The sequence below is a fragment of the Homo sapiens genome, chromosome 16 (assembly GCF_000001405.40).
Source record: "Homo sapiens chromosome 16, GRCh38.p14 Primary Assembly".
Classification (NCBI taxonomy): domain Eukaryota; kingdom Metazoa; phylum Chordata; class Mammalia; order Primates; family Hominidae; genus Homo; species Homo sapiens.
This window is the reverse complement of record NC_000016.10, coordinates 22231518-22250420: the sequence shown is the minus strand read 5'-3', so window position 1 is coordinate 22250420 and position 18903 is coordinate 22231518. Positions and strand designations below refer to the sequence as shown.

Below are 18903 nucleotides of genomic sequence, written 5' to 3'. Positions count from 1 at the left end.
GGGAAGAATCCACGGGGGCAGGATGATGGGGGAGGGACAGTGCATCTCAGAGGACGTTTTCCCAGCCCTGACTGTAAGAGAAAAAAAGTGGAGATAACCTACGTGTCCAGCAACAATATACTGGAAAAATCAACCAGGTGTATTCCTTCAATGAAATACCATGCAGCGATGAAAACCAATGCAAAATGTTGACCAAAAGAACACCTGCAGCACCAGGAGCAGCGGCTTATGTCTGTAATCCCAGAATTTTGGGAGGCTGAGGCAAGAGGATCACTTGAGGCCAGGAGTTCAAGACCAGCCTGGGCAACATAGCAAGACCTCCCTCTACAAATATTTTAAGGCTGGGCACAGTGGTTCATGCCTGTAATCCCAGCACTTTAGGAGGCTGAGGTGGGTGGATCACCTGAGGTCGGGAGTTCGAGACCAGCCTGACAAATATGGAGAAACCCTGTCTCTACTAAAAATAGAAAAATTGGCTGGGCGTGATGGTGCATGCCTGTAATCCTAGCTACTTGGGAGGCTGAGGCAGGAGAATTGCTTGAACCCAGGAGGCAGAGGTTGCGATGAGCCAAGATCGCACCATTGCACTCCAGCCTGGGCAACAAGAGCAAAACTCTATCTCCAAAAAAAAAAAAATTTTTAAAAATTGACTGGGTGTGACGGTGCACCCCTGTAGTCTGAGCTACTCGGGAGGCTGAGGTGGGATAATTGCTTGAGCCCAGGAGTTCAGGGCTGCAGTAAGGCAAGATCATGTACCCCTACACCCCAGCCTGGGCAGCAGAGCAAGACCCTGTCTCTAAAAAAGAATACCTGTTGTATGCCCCCACTTATATGAAGCAAAAAAATAGGCAAAAGTAATCTAGGGTGATAGAATTCAGAGGGGTGCTTACCCTGTGGGTATGGGAGGAGTGACTGAGAGGGGCTTGGCCAGGCTGGTTGCCTTCTGTTTGTTGATACGGGCCGATGTTAAGGCAGTGTGCTCATTTTGTGACAACTCAGCAAGCTGTACACTTTTCTGTGTATATTGTATATTACACTAAAACAAAGTTTCATAAAGCAATCCTAACTTCAATATGCAGGGAATACTCTATTTTCTAGTCTTTTATCTTTTTTTTTTTTTCTTCAAAAGCCTTTTTTGTATTTTTAGTAGAGACGGGTGTGGTGGCTTACGCCTATAATCCCAGCACTCTGGGCGGCCAAGGCAGGAGGATCATTTGAGCCCAGGAGTTTGAGACCAGCCTGGGCAACATAGTGGAACCCATGTCTCTATAAAAAATAAAAAAATTAGCCAGGAGTGGTGGTGTGTACTTGTGGTCCTGGCTACTTGGGAGGCTAAGGTGAGAGGATGGCTTGAGACCAGGAGGTCAAGGCTGCAGTGAGCTGTGACTGTGCCACTGTGCTCCTGGGCAATAGAGTGAGACCCTGTCTCAAAAAAAAAAAAAAAAAAATGCTGGCTACAACCAATAAATAAACAATAACAAAGAATCCCCCGAAGTTACAAAAATTAAATAAAGTGGGAGTGGGAGAGAAGGGTGCACAGACCAAAGTTAGCTGCAGAAAGTCTTTGCTCAGCCCTGTCCCCACGGGGCTCAACGCTCTGCTCACCTGAGATGCCATCTTGATCAGAACTTCATCATCCAGCCATTCCCCGGTGACGGCGTTGTACCTGCAGAGACCCATCCACCATGGGGCACAGCGTCCATCACGTGGTCCTGTTTCTCACTGGCTAAAGGTCAAAGACCCTTCTGGGCTCCCCACTGACCTCAGAACCAACCCACTCTCCACCTTGGCCCATAGCCCAGCCAACCTCCTGGGTTGGGTTGGAGACACTGTCCCTCCCTCCCACGTCCCAACACACTGGTCTCAATCCTTTCCTCAAACCCACTGTTCCCTCTCTACCATGTCCCCCATTTCCATATCCCCAGCACTCACTGCTGTGCTGTTTACTGGCTTGTTCTGCATCTGGGGCTCCCACTGGACTGTAACCCCACAAAAGCAGACCCATGTCTGTCTTAGTCACCAGGACCCAGTGTGTGTGGATGCTTAATAAATATACATGGCCGGACTTGGTGGTTCACGCCCGTAATCCCAGCACTTTGGGAGGCTGGGGCAGGCGGATCATGAGGTCAGGAGTTCGAGATCAGCCTGACCAACAAGGTGAAACTCTGCCTGCACTAAAAATACAAAAATTAGCCGAGCATGGTGGTGCATGCCTGTAATCCCAGCTACTCAGGAGGCTGAGGCAGGAGAATCGCTTGAACCCGGGAGGCGGAGGTCACAGTGAGCCGAGATTGCACCATTGCACTCCAGCCTGGGTGACAGAGCGAGACTCTGTCTCAAAAGATAAAAAATAAAAATAAAAATAAAAATAAAAATAAATACATACATAAAATAAATATACAAGGTGGATGAATGACTGAATAAATAATATGCTGATCATAACTGGTCTCCGTAACAAACGGCATGGCCCAGGGAGGGGAGGTGGTGGTGGTGCCCTCGATCTTGCCAGGCAGCTGGGCACATCTCCCGAGAAGTAACAGCCGCACACAGTGGAGGGTAAGGGTCCCGTCTCTGAGTCTAGACAGGAGAAGGGCTGCCGGTGTACGGGTAGAAAGGAGTGATCTCTTTCCTCCCCATCATAAGGGTCATGGACAACCAGTTTTATGTGACACGGAAGCCTTCAGAATGAAGACTCAAAGATACAGAAGAACCAATCCGATTTTATGCTGAGGTTCAGTGAAGCAGGGATGGCGTGAAGCAATGTGATTGGGCAAAAAGGAGATGAGCTAATGGTAACAGACTGAGTTGGCCAGCAAGGCCTGTTGCGATTCTTCTTGGCCACTCTGTTATAGCATTTCCTTCTCTTGTGTATGGAGTAGGACCCCTTTGGAATGAGGGTCTCATTCCATAATTTATTTATGGCCAGCTATTGCACAGAAAATTCATGTAAGGTTAGAGAATTTTTTTTTTTTTTTGACACAGAATCTCCCCATCACCCAGGCTGGAGTGCAGTGGAGCAATCTTGGCTCACTACAACCTCCGCTTCTTGGGTTCAAGCAGTTCTCCTGCTCCAGCCTTCCGAGTAGCTGGGATTACAGGTGTGCCTGCCACCATACCCAGCTAATTTTTTTTTTTGTATTTTTGTAGAGATGGAGTTTCACCATGTTGGCCAGGCTGATCTTGAACTCCTGGCCTCAAGTGATCCACCTGCTTCAGCCTCCCAAAGTGCTGGGATTACAGGCGTTAGCCACTGCGCCTGGCCTAGAGTAATATTTTTAAGCTTTATGGCTGGCTTTGGGAAAAAGGGGTTCTAGTTTCTATGACTGGTAGTGGGCAAGGGCAATTCTAGTTTCTTTTTTTTTTTTTTTTTTTTTTTTTTTTTTGAGATGGAGTCTCGCTCTGTCACCCAGGCTGGAGTGCAGTGGGGCGAACTCAGCTCACTGCAACCTCTGTCTCCTGGGTTCAAGCGATTCTCCTGCCTTAGCCTCCTGAGTAGCTGGGATTACAGGCGCATGCCACCGTGCCCAACTAATTTTTGTATTTTTAGTAGAGATGGGGTTTCATCACATTGGCCAGGCTGGTCTCAAACTCCTGATCTCATGATCCGCCTGCCTCAGCCTCCCAAAGTGTTGGGATTACAGGCGTGAGCCATCGCACCCGGCCAATTCTAGTTTCAATGGCTTGCTTAAGGAGACAACAAGGGGTGAGAGACAGGAGGGCAGGAGATGATCAGAGAGGGGCTATTTCTGAAGCCTTCACTTTGGGGTATCATTTTCTGAGCCCCAGTACCAGGTTGTGTGATGGTAAATATATATTTTGTTTTAGATTCCATTTCCTGGCATGCAACTCTGAAAGTCCTTGGAATCTCCAAAGTGACGTCTTTTTTTTTTTTTTTTTTTTTTTTTAAGACTGAGTCTCACTCTGTCACCCAGGCTGGAGTGTAGTGGCACGATCTCAGCTCACTGCAACCTCTGTCTCCCAGGGTTCAAGCAAGTCTCCTGCCTCAGCCTCCTGAGTAGCTGGGATTACAGGCGCCTACCACCACACCCGGCTAAATTTTTAGAAGAGATGGGGTTTCACCATGTTGGTCAGGCTGGTCTCGAACTCCTGACCTCAAGTGATCCACTCACCTCGGCCTCCCAAAGTGCTGGGATTACAGGCATGAGCCACCATGCCCAGTCTTCTTCTGTACCCTTTGTAACATCCTTTATAATAAACCAGTAAATATGAGTAAGTGTTTCCCTGAGTTCCGTGAGCTGCTCCAGCAAGTTAATCAAACCCAAGGAGGGGTTCATGGGAACCCTGATTTATAGCTGGTCAGAAGCACAGGTGAAACCACTTCGGGCTTGCGATCAGCAGTGAAAGTCGGGGACGGTCTTGTAGGACTGAGCCTCCAACCTGTGGGATCTGATGCTATCTCCAGGTAGATGGTGTCAGAATTGAATTGAATCATAGGATACCCAACTCAAAACTCCTCTAATTCCTTCAATTAGAGGAACAGAATTAGACGCACATCTGCTGGTGTCCACTGCAGAGCTGATTACTTGCTTGTGGGTGGGGAGAAACCGCCACACATTTTGAGCTCACAGAAGCATTCTGTGTTGTAAGGGTACAGTAGGTTAAATTAAGTTTGTTTTTGTCACAGATAGGTGCATACCTAAGGCAGAGAGAGCTTGGAGAGGGTTCAGGGAACATTTCCATCTCTCCTTTCCCAGAGTAAATCAGCCCCTGGGCCTGGCCAGGCCTCACACAAGTTTGCCTGGTGGAAATCTCCTCAGCTCAATGGATCCCTAAAGTTTGAAACCTCCCTCCGGGCTGAGGTGTTCTTAACTCTAGTTGGAGGTTTCCCTTAGCGCACCTCTCAGCCGGGGCAGACTCCAGAACACCCCACCCTCGGTGAGAACAGGTTTCCCAGAGCCTGATGCCTCCACCGGGAAAAACAAGCAGAGGCCTGGCAGGTTAACCTCCCCTAGGCTCAGAGGGAGGAAAGCTCTCCAGAGCTGCACAGTTTGCACCGGCCCAGGGCAAGTATAGTTGATGCTTGAATGACATGGGTTTGAAGTGCGTGGGTCTACTTATAAATGGACTTTCTTCAATCAATATATTGGAAAATGTTTCAGAGATTTGCAACAATTTTATTTTATTTTATTTTTGACATGGAGTGTTACTCTGACGCCCAGGTTGGAGTGCAGCAGTGCTATATCAGCTCACTGCAACCTCCACTTCCTGAGTTCAAGCGATTCTCCTGCCTCAGCCTCCTGAGTAGCTGGGATTACAGGTGCCAGCCACCACGCTTGGCTATGGCTAATTTTTGTATTTTTAGTAGAGATGGGGTTTCACCATGTCGGCCAGGCTGGTCTTGAACTCCTGACCTCAAGTGATCTGCCCACCTCAGCCTCCCAAAGTGCTGGGATTACAGGTGAGAGCCACCTCACCCGGCCAGAGATCTGCAACAATTTAAAAAAACTAGCTCAGTCTAGCCTGTCTAATAGGTACCTTGTGAGAACCACGAGAAGGATTCAGTGAGGTAATGCACCGGGCCTTAAGCACGCATTAGCATGCCAATATTAGCTGCTGTTATGATTACTCCCTTCCCCTGACCCCCAAGAGTACTTAGGCCTCACTGATTGGGAACAGAAGCTGGACGTATAGCCCCCAGGACTCCTCGAGACCCCACACAAGCTGCTGACCTGTGTCGAGTAGCACGTTCGGTGGCAATATCTTCCAGGTGGAACTCAGCCCAGGGGTCGGGCATGTGCTTGGCCTTCTGGATTGCGTGCTTCCAGGCTTCCTGTGGAAGGCAAAGGAGAAGGTAGGAACATCAGGCCCAGGTCAGGGGCTTTGGGGACAGCGTGGACTCCTCCTGCCCTGTTATTTCCTCTGGAGAGGCAGACAGTATCAGGACAGAGAGAGACTCCTGTCTAGTAGCCTTTCAGGAACACAGTCCCCAAAAGAACCTATCTGCACTCACAGGCACAGCCTCCCTGTGGGCAGAAATGGCACATCTTAACTACACAACGCTTGGATCAAAGAGTTGAGAATGAAAATAGGATACCATTCCCCCATTCAGGTTGGCTAACATTTCATTATATATATATTATATAGGATATACACACACACACACACACACACACACACACACACACACACAATACATATATAGAAACAGAATATAACGTATATATATATATAGAAACAGAGTCTCACTCTGTCACCCAGGCTGGAGTGCAGTGATGTGATCTTGGCTCGCTGCAACCTCCACCTCCCGGGTTCAAGCAATTCTCATGCCTCAGCCTCCCAAGTAGCTGAGATTATAGGCGCCCGCCACCACGCACTGCTACTTTTTGCATTTTTTGGTAGAAACAAGGTTTCACCACATTGGCCTGGCTGGTCTCGAACTCCTGACCTCAAGTGATCCACCCGCCTTGGCCTCCCAAAGTGCTGACATTACAGGCGTGAGCCACTGTGCCCGGCCTCTTTTTTTTTTTTTTTTTTTTTGAGACAGGGTCTTACTTTGTCGCCGAGGCTGGAGTGCAGTGGTGCAATCTCGGCTCACTGCAACCTCTGCCTCCTGGATTCAAGCGATCCTCCCACCTCAGCCTTGGGAGTAGCTGGACCTACAGGTGCACACCACTATACCTGGCTAATTTTTGTACTTTTTGGTAGAGACGGGGTTTCGTCATGTTGGCCAGGCTGGTGTCAAACTCCTGACCTCAAGTGATCCACCAGCCTCGGCCTCCCAAAGTGCTGGGATTACAGCAGGCTGGCAATTATTTTAATGAGATGAAACATTTTAGCGAGTGCTGGCCCGGATATCAGGGAACGGGTACCCTCACACACCATCGGGGGTATAAAACTTTTCTAGGCTGGGCTGGGTGCAGTGGCTCGTGCCTGTAATCCCAGCATTTTGGGAGGCCGAGGCAGGTGGTTTACCTGAGGTCAAGAGTTTGAGACCAGTGTGGCCAACACGGTGAAACCCTGTCTCTACTAAAAATACAAAAATTAGCTGGGCATGGTGGCACACGCTTGTAATCCCAGCTACTTGGGAGGCTGAGAGAGGAGAATCGCTTGAACCCAGGAGGCAGAGGTTGTAGTGAGCCGAGATTGTGCCATTGCACTCCAGCCTGAGTGACAGAGGGAGACCCTGTCTCAGAAAAAAAAAAAAAAAAAAAATAGGCTGCATCTCTGGTGGAGATTCTTGACCTTACCAGACCCAATGACCTCTTTTTATAATAAATATTATATAACACCCCATTTTACTGCCCTATGTGAAATTCATAGATAACATAAATTTCTAAGCTCAGAGCTAGAACCATGCCAAAGATATGTTGCCTTTTTTATTTTTTATTTTTTTTTCAAGAGACGGGGTCTCACCCTGTCCCCAGGCCGGAGTGCAGTGGCATGATCACGGCTCAGGTGATCCTCTCGCCTCAGCCTCCTGAGTAGCTAGGACCCCAGGCTGAGCCACCATACCTGGTTAATTTTTTAATTTTCTGTAGGGACAGGGTCTCACCATATTGCCCAGGCTGGTCTTGAACTTCAAGCGATCCTCCCACCTCAGCCTCCCAAAGGATACGCCGCCTTTACACATAACATAGCATTTAACTCTGGCCTCAGATAATTATGAAACGATTCCCATGAGCTGTTCCAAGATCTTGTGGGATGCAGGAAAATTCATCGTGCAGAACAGCCCTGTTTCAGGGTTGCTGGCATTCCCGGCCTTCCCTAACTCTATGCCAGCAGTGCCCACCACCCCATCATTATGATGGCCCAAAAGAACTCCCAAATCTATCAAAACCTATTGAGAGTAGCCAGGCATGGTGGCTCACGCCTGTAATCCCAGCACTTTGGGAGGCCGAGGCAGATGGATCATCCAAGGTCAGGAGCTCGAGACCAGCCTGGCCAACGTGGTGAAACCCCGTCTCTACTTTAAAAAAAAAAAAAGCTGGGTGCATACGTGTAATCCCAGATACTCGGGAGGCTGAGGCAGGAAAATCGCTTGAACCAGGAGGTGGAGGTTGCAGTGAATGGAGATCAGGCCACTGCACTCCAGCCTGGGTGACAGAGCAAGACTCTGTACCCAAAAAAAAGAGTCCAGCTTCCCAAGGACTCAGCCCAAACAGGGCTTCACCTCATCCCCAGCACTGGGTCCTGCTCAAAATAGAAGCAGCTCAGGCAGTGGAGCTGGGCCTTCCAATACACACACACAGAGCCCAGGCCTCTCACTCTCTCTAGGGCTTTCTTTTGTTTTTGGGTTTTTGTTTTGTTTTTTAAATAGGAATAAGGTCTCTCTCTGTTGTCCAGGCTACGTGGTGGTAGTGTGATCATAGCTCTCTGCAACCTCAAAACTCCTGGGCTCAAGCGATCTTCCTGCCTCAGCCTCCTGAGTAGCTGGGACTACACTTGTGTGTCACCATGCCCAGCTAATTTTTTTATTTTTATTTTTATTTTGCAGAGACCGGGTTGCACTACGTTTGTTGCCCAGGCTGGTCTCGAACTCCTGGCCTCAAGTGATCCTCCTGCCTCAACCTCCCAAGGAACTAGGATTACAGAGATGAGCTGCTGCACCTAGCCTGCTGGGGCTTTTTTACCTCTGCAGAGTTCAAAAAATAAAGCCTGTAATTCTTTTCTTCTATTTTGGTAGCTAATTTAGACTTAATTTAAAAGTTGGAGAATACAGAAGACAAAAGTCAAATCCACCATATACCATCCACTGGAGCAATGCCGTAGACTAATTCTTTTCCAGATCTTCTATATGTTTTTTTTTTTTTTTTTTTTTTTTTTGAGACAGTCTCCCTCTGTCACCCAGGCTAAAGTGCAGTGGGGTGATCTCAGCTCACTGCAACCTCCTGGGTTCAAGCAATTTTCCTGCCTCAGCCTCCTGAGTAGCTGGGATTACAGGCGTGAGCCAACATGCCTGGCTAATTTTTGTATTTTTAGTAGAGACGGGGTTTCACCATGTTGGCCAGGCTAGTCTCGAACTCCTGACCTCAGGTGATCCACCCGCCTTGGCCTCCCAAAGTGCTGGGATTACAGGCGTGGCCACCTTGCCCGGCCTACATGCATTTTTTAATAAGATTGGTATCATACCATAAAATATAATTCACCTCCTTACAGAAGAGTGGGTCAATGGGATTTTGTGCTTTATTTAGTGATCTCAATTTTTTTTTCTGATTCCAAAGTATGATCCACATCACATAAAAACTGCAAGCACTATAGAACTCTGAATTAGAAAGCGGAAGTCCTCCCTAATCCACTTCCTCTGAAAACCACAGCTGACAGTTGATGTAGACATTCTGCAAAATTTTTTCCTATGCCTCTGTGAACATAAACACATATTTAAGAGCAGTTTAGGCCGGGCGCGGTGGCTCACACCTGTAATCCCAGCACTTTGGGAGGCTGAGGCAGGCAGATCACAAGGTCAGGAGTTTGATACCAGCCTGGCCAACATGGTAAAACCCTGTCACTACTAAAAATACAAAAATTAGCCGGGCATGGTGGCACGAGCCTGTAATCCCAGCTACTTGGGAGGCTGAGGCAGGAGAATCGCTTGAACCCAGGAGGCGGAGGTTGCAGTGAGGCAAGAGAGCACAACTACACTCCAGCCTGGGCGACACAGTGAGACTCCATCTCAAAAAAATAAAAATAAAACAAAATAAAAAGAAAGAGCAATTGGACCACACCACATGTTCTGTTGTGCATCTGACTTTTCTTAATGTAAGATCTTGGACATCTTTCCATGTCATATGTGCAGACTGGCTGGGGTAACCTCCTTTCATTTCCAGAACTACCAGATATATAATTATATAAATGTACCTTAAGGTATTTGCCTAACCTCCAATTGAATAATGTTTGGGTTCCCTCCAACATTTCCTAGTACAAACAGTGCTGAAGTGAACATCTTCCTATCCAAATCTTGGGCGCTTGTGCAAGATCTCAGTAGTACATATTTTTTGGGAAATGTAACTGCTGGATCACATTTAAAATCTAGAAATGACTGAGTTCTCTGCCAAAAAATTTATCCCAAGTTATACTCCAAGAAGCAGTAAACAAATCACTAAAATTCTTTTGGCACAGACAGTACATCAGATAACTATAAAATTTATAAGTTATTTGCATCCTGCTTTAATAGTTGCATAATAATCTACTGTATAACTTTTTTGTTATTGACTTGATTATTCACCTGTTGCTCTCCACTGTTAGACTTCAAGCTTGTCACTGATTGCTCCCTGTTGTAAATAACCCCACAGCAGACATGTGTATGTCTAAAACATTTTTCTGAATTTCGGTCCCTGTACCTTTTTTTTTTTTTTTTTTTTGAGATGGAGTCTGGCTCTGTCACCAGGCTGGAGTGAAGTGGCATGATCTCGGCTCACTGCAACCTCTGCCTCCTGGGTTCAAGCGATTCTCCTGCCTCAGCCTCCTGAGCAGCTGGGACTACAGGCTTGCGCCACCACGCCCAGCTAATTATTGTATTTTTAGTAGAGACAGGGTTTCACCATGTTGGCCAGGATGGTCTCGATCTCTTGACCTTGTGATCCGCCTGCCTCGGCCTCCCAAAGTGCTGGGATTACAGGCATGAGCCTGGCCCCTGTACTTTTTCTCTTAAAGAGACAGGGTCTTGCTCTGTCACTCAGGCTGGAATGCAGTGGCATGATCACAGCTCACCGCAGCCTCAAACTCCTGGGTTCAAGTGATCCTCCTGCTTCAGCTTCCCGAATAGCTGGGATGACAGGCGCTTGCCATCATGCCTGGCTAATTTTTTAAATTTCTGTACAGACAGGATCTCGGTATGTTGCCCAGGCTGTTCTCAAACTTCTGGGCTCAAGTGATCCTCCTGCCTTGTCCTTCCAAAGCACTGGGATTACAGGCATGAGCCACCACGCCCAGCCCAATCCCCGTAACTTAAAGCACCAGTCTCAGCTCATATTCCGGCTGCTACAAATGGCAGGGACAGCCTTCGACCTCCACCTGTCAGGAGAGCCTGCAGGGTTGAGAATTCAGCAGGCCACCCTTCCAAGCATGTCTGTACAGGTGCCCTGTTCTCTGTCTACGACACACAATTCTCTGACAGTGCCTCTCTCAAACGACTCCGCCACTCCGTAAGCCACTAACAGGGACCGTCCCCATTCAGTGAAGATTAGCAACAGAAATTACCTCCTGGCTGGATGCCGTGGCACCAACCACAAAACAGGGAGGAAAGTACTGCAGAATTAGAGGGTGTGGTATTTCATAGAATAAAAATTACCTTTTTTCCAAACCCAGAACAGAGTCATGCCAGACCTTATTGGCAACAGGTGGGATTAATGCAACTGACTTTTTTTTTTTTAATAAGCACAGTATAAAAAGTACTGTACTAACATTCATGTCCCTGACTCTGGTTCCAGCTTACTGACTGGCTGTGGGAACCTCCATTTCCTTGTTTACAAACAAGGATGAAGAAGGTTTTGGCTGCTGGTGGTCCACTTTTTTGTGGCCCCTGCACCCAGGGTAGACACACTCCCACCAAAAACAGTGGCTCACTGGGGTGGCAGTGCTTATTATGGGTGACTCCTGCTGGAGCTACAAATCACCAGTAATGTTACCATCAGGTGGGGAATGGAAGCAGGTACTGCCATCTTTGAGAGCCACCTGGCAGTGGCTATGAACCTTCTTCTGCACCGACTTCTGACCCAGCCATTCCTATCACCTACCCAGGTGTGTCCAGGTAAGCTGGTCCAAGGATGATCAGTGCTTTTTTTTTTTTTTTTTTTCCTTTTTTCTTTTTTTTTGAGACCAGGTATTTATTACTTTGTTGCCTAGGCTGAAGTGCAGTGGTGGGATCATAGCTCACTGAAGCCTCCAACTCCTGGGCTCAACGAATCTTCTCAACTCAGCCTCCCAGGTAGCTGGGACTATGGGTGCTCACCATCATGCCCAGCTAATTTAAAAAATTGTGTGTGTGTAGAGATGACAGTCTCTCTATGTTGTCCAGGGTGGTCTTGAACTCTAGCCTCAAGGTCAGCACTTATAATGCCATAATGATCAGGCAGTACAAACTGCCCATCTGTAGGGGGATGATCACATACACTTGGTATACTCAAAATAAGATGCTAGCACGGGTGATCTTTGTATTCCCCCCGGGCAGGGAGTGGGGGACGTGGTCTCACTCTGTCGTCCAGGCTGGAGTGCAGTGGCGCCATCTCTGCTCACTGCAACCTCCGTCTCCTGGGTTCAAGCAATTTTGTCTCAGCTGCCTGAGTATCTGGGATTACAGGTGAGTGCCACCACACCCGGCTAATTTTTGTATTTTTAGTAGAGATCAGGTTTCACCATATTGGTCAGGCTGGTCTTGAACTCCTGGCCTCAGGTGATCCACTCACCTTGGCCTCCCAAAGTGCTGAGATTACAGGCGTGAGCCACCGCACCCAGCATGGGCAATTTCTAAGACCTATTGTTTAGGGGGGAAAAAAGCAAGTTACAGAACAATACAAACACTATGATACCACTTACTGGTGGCGGAAACCCACAAATCAATACCATGGATTTTCTAAGGATGTGTGTGTCTGTAGACATACACACAAATGTATACTTATATGCAAATGCACAAAAAGAGGTCTGAAAAGTAATTTATATGAAACTAATATAATTCTTATCTCTGGGAATAGAAAGGGATAAGAAGTTGCTCAAAGAGACCTCAGTTTATCTATGTTGTTTGCATTCTTTTTACAATGAGAATGTATTTAGGTAATGCCTGTGTAAATCAAAGTTAAGAAACAAAAATTACTGGGTTAGACGAGTTTTCTTCTTTTCTTTTTTTTTTTGAGACAGGGTTTCACTCTGTTGCGCAGCCTGCAGTGCAGTAATGGAATCATGGCTCACTGAAACCTCAACCTCCACCTCAACCTCCCGGGTAGCTGGGCCTATGGGCACACGCCACCACGCCTGGCTAATTTTTTGTATTTTTGTAGAGACAGAGTTTCACCATGTTGCCCAGGCTGGTCTCAAACTCCCGGACTCAAGTGATCCACCTGTCTTGGCCTCCCAAAGTGCTGGGATTACAGACATAAGCCACTGCGCCTGGCCAGGTTAGATGATTCTTAAGGCCGTGCCAGCTCTAATATCCTCTATTTCTAAGGATTCCGGAACTCAGTTGTTGAGTAGGTTAATTAATCTTACATAGAACAGAGGGCTATGGGCCGGGTGTGGTGGCTCATGCCTGTAATCCTAGCACTTTGGGAGGCCGACATAGGTGGAGCACTTGAGGCCAGGAGTTTGAGACCAGTCTGGTGAACATGGTGAAACCCCCTCTCTACAAAAAATATAAAAATTAGCTGGGCGTGGTGACGTGTGCCTGTGCTCCCAGCTACTCAGGAGGCTGAGGCATGAGAATCGCTTGAACCCAGGAGGTGGAGGTTGCAATGAGCTGAGATTGCACCACTGCACTACAGCCTGGGTGACAGAGCAAGACTCTGTCTCAAAAAAAAAAAAAAAAAAAAAAAAAAAAGAGGTCTGTGGATATTTCATAAAAAAAGGAAAACATAATTCTGGCTACAGAATAGAAAGGCTGTGGTTCTTCAAAGTCTGAGAGTACAAAATAAAAATAAATAATAGTGAAATCATAATAATTATATACCAGGAAAGGGAGATGGAAATAATAATAATGATTACTATAGTAATAATAATTTACTTCATCGAGTATGCCAGGAGTGAGGGTGGAGTGCCGGCAATGTGTTTGCAAATGTTTTGGCACGTGGGATGTTATCACTGTTGTTGCCAATTTTATATTACTGTTATTATTGCCATTATCACAGTAATCAAGGCCCCTGGTTACTTGAGGACACATCCAGTGACTCACCCAAGCCTTTATCACCTGTTACAGTCACTTCATGTTATAAAATCATTTTTTTCCCCATCATCACTTCTGCAGACTTTATGAAATACAGCTCAGAAGTCTAGGCAACATTGCGAAACCCTGCCTCTACTACAAATACAAAAAATTAGCCAGGCATGGTGCCATGCGCCTGTAGTAATAGCTACTCAGGAGGCTGAGGTGGAAGGATCACCTGAACCTGGGAAGTCGAGGCAAAAAAAAAAAAAAAGAAATACAACTCAGAGACAGCCCAACTACTCTCCCCTCCTGCAGAGCAGTAATGGGCTTAACCAAACTCAAGGGCTCAAATAAAAGAAGCGGGAAGAAGTGGGGGAACACAGTGAGGCTCTGGAATGGAAAGAGACCAACAGTGGTGTGTAGAGGCCACAATCTATGCCACATGCACTTAGAGGTTTGGTACAATTATCAGTGGAACCCAGCATGGAATACAGCAGCAAAAAACTGGAAACCAGGCACAGTGGTCATGCCTGTGATCCCAGCAATTTGGGAGGCCAAGGCAGGAGGATCACTTGACACTTGGAGTTCCAGAGCAGCCTGGGCAGCATAGCAAGACCCCATTTCTACAAAAAAAAAAATACAAAAATTAGCCAGGCGTGATGGCGCATGCCTTTAGTCCCAACTACCTGGGGAGCTGGGGTGGGAGGATCACTTGAGCTCAGGAGGTCGAGGCTACAGTGACCCATGATTGTGCCACTGCACTCCAGCCTGGGCAACAGCATGAGACCCTATCTCTTAAAAAACAAACAAACTGGCCAGACGCGGTGGCTCACGCCTGTAGTCTCAACACTTTGGGAGGCTGAGGCAGGCAGATCACCTGACGTCAGGAGTTCGAGACCAGCCTGACCAACATGGAGAAACCCCATCTCCACTAAAAAATGCAAAATTAGTCAGGCGTGGTGGTGCATGCCTGTAATCCCAGCTACTTGGGAGGCTGAAGCTGGAGAATCACTTGAACCCGAGAGGCAGAGGTTCCAGTGAGCTGAGATCGTGCCATTGCACTCCAGCCTGGGCAACAAGAGCGAAACTCCATCTCAAAAACAAACAAACGTGGAAACTGCCTAAGTATCCCACAAGAGGCAATGCTTAAAGAAACTGTGGTGTAGCCATACAATGGGCTGACAGAGCCATCAAGACACTACATCCATATTTACTGATCTGAAAAGACATGATGATTTCTTGCTTGCCGAAAAAAACTGGTTACTGAAGACATATATAGCATGATTCTACAGTAGCAACAAAATGTCCATATTTGTGTATATTTAAAGTGAAATACAGTAAAGTCTGAACTATACACTAAGATCTTAATAGCAAAATATCTGCACTTTTTTTTTTTTGAGACACAGTCTTGCTCTGTCTCCCAGGCTGGAGTGCAGTTGTACAATCTCAGCTCACTGCAATCTCTGCCTCCCAGGTTTAAACAATTCTTGCGCCTCAGCCTCCCCAGTAACTGGGACTACAGGTGTGCGCCCCCATGCCCGGCTAATTTTTTGTATTTTTAGTAGAGATGGGGTTTCACCATGTTGCCTGTAATCCCAGCTACTCAGGAGGCTGAGGCAAGAGAATCACTTGAACCTGGGAGGCAGAGGTTGCAGTGAGCAGAGATGGCACCACTGCACTCCAGCAGGGGCAACAGAGTGAAACCGCCCCTAAAAAAAAAAAAAAAAAAAAAAGCAACAAAAAACATTATGCTTAGCAAAAGAAGCCAGACATAAAAGGCCACATGTTGTATGATTCTATTTATGTAAAACGTCCAGAAAAGGCAAGTCCAGAGAGGCAGAAAGTGGACTGGTGTTTGCCTGGGGCTGGGTGGGATGTGTATATTAGAGCGTGATGGCTAAGGGGTATAGAATTTAGTTTTTGGGTAAAATGTTCTAAAAGTGGTTGTGGTGATGGATGCATAATTTTATGAATATACTCAAAGGCTTTGAATAGTACATTTTAAATGGGTAAATTGTATGGCATGTGAATTATATTTCCAAAAACTGCTAAAATTTTTTTTTTTTTTTCCTGTTGCCCAGGCTGGAGTGCAGTGGTGCGATCTTGGCTCACTGCAACCTCCGCCTCCCGGGTTCAAGTGATTCCCCTGCCTCAGCCTCCTGAGTAGCTGGGACTACAGTCTCACACCACCACGCCCAGATAATTTTTGTATTTTTAGTAGAGATGAAGTTTCACCATATTGGTCAGGCTGGTCTCCAACTCCTGACCTCAGGTGATCCACCAGCCTCGGCCTCCCAAGGCAATCATTATTCTTTGATCATGCTGTTAGAGCTGCCCTCAGTGGGTTACAAGTATGAGTGTAATCACCAAAGTTGGCCAAATAAGGGCATGGGAAGCAGGTGTACCCACCCATCATGGGGGGCACACACGATGGTGTAACCTCTTTGAGGAGCAACCGACAACACCTATCCCAGTTTAAACACACAAACGTTTTGCCTAGCCAGTTCACCTCTGGGGGGGGTCCTCTGGTGGGCACGCCCATTCATGGGTGCAAAGACACATGCACAAGGAAGTGCTGTTTGTGGCAGGACAAGACTGGAAATAACCTACATACCCTACAAGGAGGGGCTGGCTACATTTATTATGGTGCTTCCAACAATGAAATGATATTCAGCCATTAAATAACCAACAACAGGCTGGGCATGGTGGTGCATGCCTGTGGTCCCAGCTACTCGGGAGGCTGAGGTGGGAGGATCACTTGAGCCCAGGATTTCAATGCAGTGAGCTATGATCACACCACTGCACTTCTGCCTGGGCAACCCTATCTCAAAAGAAATTTTTTTAAATAAGGTGATCTATGTGTATTGATGTGGAATGAGCTCTGAGATATTCTCAGATCAGGAAAATATTTTTTTGCCAGGGGGCAGGGGAGAGGGTCTCGCTCTGTTGCCTAGGCTAAAGGGCAGTGGTGCAATCTCTCACTGCAGCCTCTGCCTCCCAGGTTCAAGTGATTCTCCTGCCTCAGCCTGTGGAGTAGCTGGGATTATAGGTGCCCACCTCCATGCCCGGCTATTTTTTTTTTTTTTGTATTTTTAGTAGAGACGGGGTTTCACCATGTTGGCCAGGGTGGTCTCGAACTCCTGACCTCAAGTGATCTACCTGCCTCGGCCGCCAAAAGTCCTAGGATTACAGACATGAGCCAGTGCACCTGGCTGAAAATAATATTTAAAAATAAAATTTCCCACCTTAATAACAAATTAAAAACATGTATTTGCTCCCTATGCTTATTCTAGAAAATGTAGAAATGACAGAGAAGGAGAAAAGGAACACAGTCCCTCCTAATCCAATCCAAAGACAATTCCTGCTGCCCTGGTGATGTGCTTCCCCTCAGGCCTTGGCTGTATGTGTACGTGCGAGTTTCACAGAGCTATAATCATGCTGTATTCTTTTTAGATTTAACTCTGGAGCAGAGGCACTTTCCCACGTTATCATAAACTCTATAAACATCTTTGGATGACTGCCTGATATTCTATGGAGAGGGCGGCCCCCTGAATGGTTCTGCCACGTCTCCACGGGAGCTTGGGCAGAAGGCTGGGCTTGACAGCGATAGAATCTGACCTTTCACAATCCACACCCAATACCTGCTGGGTGTGTTCCTTGGAGGGAGGCCAGCGGGCCATTTTGGTTAAACAATCCAAGTTTCCAGGTCACAGTGCGTTAAAAAAAAAACCACTTAGGTTTATGGGATGCTGAGGGAACAAAGGTTGGAAAGCTGAGCTGTTGTCTCCCTCTGAAGCCACCCCTGGCAACACTAACCCAACAGAGCCTGCTTTCGATAACCTAGAAAGTAAGCAATGAAGTGCCAACTCCCGTCCACACACAGTCAAACATTTTATCAAGTCCTACTACGCAGGACCAAGGGAATGGAGGTCGCATCAGACACAACCCTACTCTTGCAGTCAGGTGCTGACTCAAACAAAGAACGACACTGGAGAATGACTCACACACATAAAGGTCTGCTAAGAGCCCCACGGAAGGCAGAGCAGAAAGCCTGGAAAGGTTGTCTTCAATCTGGGCTCTGGGCCAGGCTCAATCGCTTATGCTTGTAATCCCAACACTTTGGGAAGCTGAGGCAGGAGGACTGCTTGAGGCCAGGAGTTCAAGACCAGCCTGGGCAACGTAATGAGACCCCATCGTTCCAAAAAAAAATTAAGAAGTTGGCCAAGTGTGGTGGTGCACGCCTGTGGTCTCAGCTACTCAGGAGGCTGAGGTGGGAGGATCGCTCAAGCCCAGGAGTTAGAGGCTGCAGTGAGTTATGATCATGCCACTGTACTCCAGCCTGGGCAACACAGCAAGACCTTGTCTTTAAAATTAAAAAAATAAAAATTAAAGCTGGGTTCTGAAGGAGGCAGAACTGTAATTTTGATAGACCAGGACATCAGTTGAAAGAAATTTTATAAGGCAGAGGTGTGAAAAAGGGAAGCCCATTCCAGGAGCTTCCAGATGTGTGTGAGTGGAGGGGATGAACAGAGCCTAGAAAGGTCCTGGAGCGGAGGGACCTAGAAGACACTCCCATCCTGGTGATGAAGCTTTTTTTTTTTTTTTTTTTTTTGTTTGTTTAAGACAGAGTTTCGCTCTCGTTGCCCAGGCTGGAGTGCAATGGCGCGATCTTGGCTCACTGCAACCTCAGCCTCCCAGGTTCAAGTGATTCTCCTGGCTCAGCCTCCTGAGTAGCTGGGATTACAGGCATGTGCCACCATGCCTGGCTAATTTTTGTATTTTTAGTAGTGACAGGGTATCACCATGTAGGTCAGGCTGGTCTCAAACTCCTGACCTCGTGATCCACCTGCCCCAGCCTCCCAAAGTGCTGGGATTACAGGTGTGAGCCACCGTGCCCGGCCAGAAGTGATGAGTTTTGAGGAGGGGGTATTTATCAATGTATTTGAGGAAGAGGAAGTTACCTGGTTATTTTACTTTATTTTTCTTAACAACATCTTTTTCTCCACATAAGTGATACATATGTGTAACTTTAAAAGTTTAAAATGTTTAAAAAATATACAAAGCCCCCCTTTAATGGTACCTCTCCCATAGAG

The 18903-nt window shown here is 47.0% G+C and overlaps 1 protein-coding gene across 1 annotated transcript in view; it reads right to left on the bottom strand.

Moving 5' to 3' along the window:
* The window catches only part of EEF2K (eukaryotic elongation factor 2 kinase), an 82461-nt gene that overhangs the window by 38318 nt on the left and 25240 nt on the right, over window positions 1-18903 (bottom strand). The window contains exons 3-4 of the mRNA NM_013302.5: window positions 5691-5791; window positions 1606-1666 (exon numbers count right to left, since the gene is read on the bottom strand). Of these exons, the coding sequence (NP_037434.2) occupies window positions 1606-1666; window positions 5691-5791 (162 nt within the window). The remainder of the gene's footprint in view (window positions 1-1605; window positions 1667-5690; window positions 5792-18903) is intronic.